This window comes from Homo sapiens, chromosome 6, assembly GCF_000001405.40.
Source record: "Homo sapiens chromosome 6, GRCh38.p14 Primary Assembly".
NCBI classification, from domain to species: domain Eukaryota; kingdom Metazoa; phylum Chordata; class Mammalia; order Primates; family Hominidae; genus Homo; species Homo sapiens.
Genome location: NC_000006.12, coordinates 74,928,800 through 74,934,938, shown reverse-complemented (window position 1 = coordinate 74,934,938; position 6,139 = coordinate 74,928,800). Strand labels below are relative to the sequence as shown.

The window sequence follows — 6,139 nt, the reverse complement described above, 5'->3', positions numbered from 1 at the left end:
TGGAATTCAAGGATGCTTCAACTTGGGTTCCTCCAGAAACAGAATCTGAGATGGAGATGAGTGTCTAGGAGGCTTATTAGGTGCGTCCTTGAGAGTAACACCCATCGAAGGGAAGAGAAGCAAGTAGTGAGGAGGAAGAAATTGAACTCTGAGGCAGCTTTAGTGGAGGCCGCGGCTGACACCAAGGGGGAATTTAAGGCTTCCTAGCTTGCAGAACAAATAAAAGAAAAAATAGAACTTAGTTCTTTATGCCAAATCATACCTCTTTCAAGGTAACCCACATCCAAGGACTAATGTGGGATTATAAAGGCTTGGCCCTCTCCCCTATCTCAAAACAGTTCCGAGAAAACATATCATAAGAACTACCCTTGGAGTTTCCTGCAAAATCTCACACTATTACTACTATCACCATGGAAGATAGTGAAAGTGTCATTGAATGAAAAGCTTCTACTTATCTTGGACTGTATAAAGTGTAAGAACTGAGTGACTTGATTTATATGGCAAATTTGCTCTCATACAACTTCCTTCTCTTTTGTCCAAACTCTCTCTTTACTGGCACAACTTCCCTCACTCTTTCTACTAGTTCACCCATTGCATCTTTTTTGCTAATCAATTGTCTTACTATTCAGAATACATAATTTGTACAGAATTTTTTTTCCTTTTTTGATTATAATGCATATAATAGCTTTGGGGAAAATTACTGAAATGATAATTGTGATAGTCTTTACTTAAGAGAAATCTGCCTGTGATATTATAAATATATACTGAATACTTCTGTTAACAGTCATAGAATTTATGCTGCTATTTGTGTATGCAGGGTAATAATTTCCTAAGCAGCCTGTTTTATAATTACAACATGTTTCTTGAATCTCTCTTAAGATTGACAGGACACATTTCTTGCCTACTTGACTTTTTTTGGGAGTTCTAAGTTAGGAATGATAATATTGCTAGTATTAACAGAGTCAGAATAATATACATGATGCCTTTAACATTTGGAGTTTGAAGATTTTAGAATTTCTTTTTGTGTGTACACATCACAAATACAGTTGAGCATATAGCCATCTTTAGATGTATATATTTATACATGTTACATGTTCATATTTGGAAAAAAGTAAAAGCCTAAGGACAAAGTATACTTTTTAGGTCAAGGGTAGCAAAATACTTCATATTGTGACATTGCATTTCAATTATGGTTTTCTCAAATGGAAAGAAATCTCCAAGAATGAATCAAATCTAGTCTTACTTGACTACTCAAGCTTAGTTCTTTATTTAAGTTCTGAAGTCCAAGAGAATAATCTTCTCTAATTTGGCAACATTCAACTGACTATTGAGTCAGGCTATAGAATTGGCTTCTTTCTTCTTTTTCTTCATCTGGCATCACTCATTTTATCTCATTGTTTCTTCTGTCTTCCTATAAATTCCGATTCTTTTATGGCTAACCAAAGTCCTAGGGTTACATTTTAAATAATGAAGACAAAAAAAATCTACTTTTCTTAAAGGGTTAAAGTTCTGCAACTCTTTCTCTTTGTAATTCTATCTAAAATATGTGACATTTATTGAAAGAGCTGATTACATAAATGTGTTTTCCAGCAGTAAAGGTGGACCCAACTTCTACATGTGCACACAGCTCCAGAGGGCAACAAATAGCCCTGAGAGTGAACTTAGTACAGTATCCAGTTGTGCAGCATTGTTACTTAGAAACCATGGAGAAAACTGAGGAAATGCAGTTATTCTGAGAAGTGCCCTGACATAGTGGGGGCATAACTCCCATAATCTTTAATGAAGACCCTTGACTTTGCTACTTGTGGGAAGGGAATTATAAATTTGTATTTTAGTTTATTTTTTTTAGGGGGGTTGTGATTCTGGGGAGGGTTTAGCTAAAAATGCCCCCTGCGCAACCTAGAATTCTTTTTATGCACAAGAAAAACTGGGCTTATCCAAGTCTTAGTGACATTTAGAAGAATTCAGTAGACTAATGCTGAAAATGCATGTTGTCAGAATAAGAAAACAAAGTAGGGACTTCATCAACCAAACCAATATTTGAAGCTTTGCTGGAAGTCAGATGGACAAAACCTAAGAGTAACCAATGAGTTATAGCTCAAAACTTGAGTGAAAAATCCTGTCATACAGGGCATGCAACATTATAAAACCTGTTGTAATGCTTCAGAGATTGTGACCTGTGCCGATTCTGCCAGGCAGGGTTCTCAGCACAGGCTGCTTTCCATCTTGCTGAAATCAGCCCACTCTCAGCCCCAGGCTCCAATAGGGGAACTGCATTGCATCAGACTTGGACTTTTGATCCAACAGTGCCCAGTTGCAGCTTGGACAGCGTTGTTTGAGGTGGTGTGGCATAAAGTGCTGTCTAATTGGGGGAAGTAATTAATTAATGTCAGAATGTAAGGAAACAACATTGATAATGAGATAAGGGCTGAGTAGACATGCATTAGTGGGTCTCTGGGGTGTCATATTTCCAATTCAACCACAAGTATCCTCAGCTAAAGTGAACTGAGGAAGCCTCTGCTTGTCACAGCCAGCTTGACATTAACACTTGACTCTAAGTGTCAGCCACTCTTGTGGCTTGGTGCTGATAGTCAAGAGATCTGATCACTAATGGTTTCATTACCTTTGATAGGAAAGGCCGCATTACCTGCCTTATACAAAAGGATTAACCAACCAAAGCCAATAGGTAGTATAGAATGACTTCGGAAAAATGAGGTTGTGGGATTGTGAAAACCTTAGGGATAAAAGTTATCTCTCCAAATGCTTCTCCCTAGTTTTCGTAGACATTAACCTCCATTCAAATGGAAACTCCCTCATTTAAGCAAATGCCCACTGGTTAATGTAAAAATGAACTAGTAAGATTCCTTTCAAACCATCTTTTGGAATTTAGGCATATTATTACTTCTAAGTCTTGAATAATTACATGAAGAAGCTTAGTTTAAGGTTGAACAGAGGACTGACAGCAGAAAATTTTGAGACATTGAACAAGGGAGCTTCTGAAATTTGTTAAGTACATTCATTTTAAGAATATGAGGGTGTGCCTGCATGCATTTTTGGCAGCTGTGGTTCTGTGGCTAGGTGAAAGTATTCAGACTAATCATGAATGGGAAAGAGTTGATAATTCAGTGCAGAGCACAGGGTGTTCAATTTAGCACACAGGGAATAAGATTATGTGGTATAATGTGAACTGTGTCCATGTGCTCTTGTGGACCTAGTATATTAGCAAACTGGAAAAGTTATCCGTCTGTTTATGTAAGCATGCCATTGATATTCCTCATTGCAAGATACATTCCAACCATTTATATTTCAGGCTTCTTGGAAAACAAAATCTCAGACTGCCTGGAAGGTTTTGCTACTTCATGACATTGTTGCCAGTATTTCATTAGAAACATATTTAGTTAAGTACCTTCAGAGGAATTTTATATACAAAAAGAACCCCAAATTAAATTTTTTTTTCCTCATTTTTTTCACAAATTAAATTTTAATGTTTTGTTATATTTTGACAAATAGTAGTTAACTTGAAAGATAAAATTCTTTGAGAGAAGCATTATTTGTTGACTCAGTATTTACCTATATAACAAACCCAAAATATTTGTGTTTCAAAAAAAAAAAAAAAGGATGAACTGAATATTTCTTTTATATTGTGCCACACAGACCCAATTTAAAGGCTCAAGAGAAAAACTCCCCAAGAGGGTGTGAAATCTGATTCCTCATAAGCCCTCACAGGTCCAATCAAGTACTGTTGGAGGAGATTTGGCTTCAGTGAGATCATTGTATATACATACATTGTTTAACAATATCAATAATTTGTATTTCTAAGTTATTTTTGTGGCTGTTTGTTAGTTTCTGGGAGCCCTGACATTAAGTGTTACAGAATCAAAAAAGGGGAAAGATTTATTTAGAATCAATCAATTCGTGGAAAGAAATCCATTAAACCACTTGGCTGATAATAGTGAACAGGTTCATTAATAGGTTGAGGAGGGTAGGTGAATGAGTAGATCCTGAATGTGACTCCACTAATGTGGCAACATTAACATCCTGAATGCAGCTATTCATGAAATAAAAAGTCAAATTCGAATGTATTTAAAATACATTTAACTATAAGCACATTCAAGGCTTCCTAATTCTGACAAATTGCAGGGAGGATTAGTATAGCACTAAGCCTACTTTTTCAGGTTGGCCCAGTAAGGAAAAGAGTCAGAAAAAAATTGTTGAAGGTCTTCAGGGGCAGCTGATGACATCTATTAAAACTTAATTGAGTTCAGCATCTTCGACTTCTATAGAGTATTATAAGTTCTTCCATAAAACAGCATGTGATTTATGAAAATTAAATATGCTACATGCAATTTTATTAACAAGATAAACTTGTCCAGAAGCCTTTCTTTCCTGGACAGTATGAATGTAAATATTGCTTTGTACCATTAAAAACAATTAGGTAGTTCAAAGTTGTGGAGTCTAAATCAATATTTAAAACTATAAAGAATAAGAATATCATAAGACAAAGTTCAGATTCATCTTAATGATTTTAGATACTTTCACATAAAACTCGTGTCACTAGCATGTGCATAAACTGGCACTATAATTTGTAGAAAACCATAATTAATCTATGTTTTGGGATTCTTTTTCAAAATTGGATCTAGTTCTATTTTTCTTCTGAAATCTATCATGCCATGTTTTATTGTGTAGAAAGCTAAGCATAAATAGTAGGGGCTGCATTTTTCTACTGTGGTGGTTTGTGGTAATTTGAAACAGGCAAGGCTCTTCCACATTCTGCATCTGTACCGGTGCTCTGTACCAGGAACTCACATTGATCACATAGCATGGCTGTCCTTTGTCCTTGAATCTTTACCCTCCTTCTACCTGGTGGTCCTTGGATTTCCTTTCAGCACCTCCCTTCCTACTTCTCCTCTTCCTCCACATCGTTTTCTCCTCCCATTCTTCCCCCTCCCTGTCTCCTATTGCTTTTCATTTTCTTTCTATCCTTTTCTTCCTCCTCCTCATCCTTCAATACTTTTGAAAAAATTTTATGAAAATACTAATTTGCATTGTTGAAAATTAGAAAAGTACAATGAATAAATGCCATATTGCCACCAACCACAGAATACCATGTAGAAACTCTAATGCATGTCTTCTCAAATTTTTCATATATATATAAATACATTTTATAAACGTATAGTTTTTATATATATACACAGTTTGTATGCATATCTATATTTTGCATGTTATGCGTTTACATACATATAAATATATGAATATATGTGTGTATTTGTGTAATTGTTTATACTATAACCTGCTTTTTCCAGTTAGCCATCTTTTAGTCTACTGTTTCAGTGCATTTTCATCTAATATGATACCCAAACCTTATTTAAATTTCTTCAGTTGATTCCAGAATGACTTTTGCTGCTGGTTTATCTAAACAGTATCTAATTCCCACCCACAGAGTGCATCTGGTGGGTATGTCCCTTTGGGTCTATTTTCATGGAGCAAATCTCTTTTATCATGACACTGACTTATTAAGGAAATAGGGTCAATTGTCCTGAAGAATGAGTTTCCTTCTCTTGAATATATTGTCTAACAATCATGGAAAAAATAAATTTATTTATTATTCTGGGGTGGGAGCCAGTTTGTTCTCTACATTGACAACACTGTAATTTTCTGTCAGTACGTAATTTGTTCTTCCTATATAGAGGTTTTTAAGTTATTTTTCTTATCCATCAGGATATGCCTAGATGTACACCTTTTTCATCAAAACATATTGGATCTTACTGTCCTCTTTCAGTGTGCAGATTCAGATCTTTCCCCAGCCCAGACATATTATATTTTCATGTATCTATTTCATTGCTTTCTTCCCAAATACCCAATATTTGCTTGTCAGGCTTTCCATAACTTTTTCATCTTTTACCACATGCCTTCTACTACTTCCTGTGTTTTAAGCTATAATTTAATTTCTGTGCTTTAAGATTTATTAAAATTAGGCTACTGATTCTGGTCATTCACTGGTTAAACTCATTCTTATTTATTATCAACTGATTTGTTTTCATTGGAAAATAATGATTGTAATCTCCAGAGGATATTTTGTTTTGTTTTATATTACATTTGGATCTCCTTCAGCATTCATTATTAATTTTTTTCAGATGAT

The 6,139-nt window shown here is 35.1% G+C and overlaps 1 annotated feature.

Moving 5' to 3' along the window:
- Nucleotides 4,317-4,486: an enhancer, noted in NCBI's record as "experimental_94546 CRE fragment used in MPRA reporter constructs". NCBI's record gives its function as "activates a minimal promoter by MPRAs in K562 erythroleukemia cells, with activity observed for both the introgressed and non-introgressed 6:75640254 variant alleles {active_cell/tissue: K562}" and the evidence as "EXISTENCE:reporter gene assay evidence [ECO:0000049][PMID:34662402]".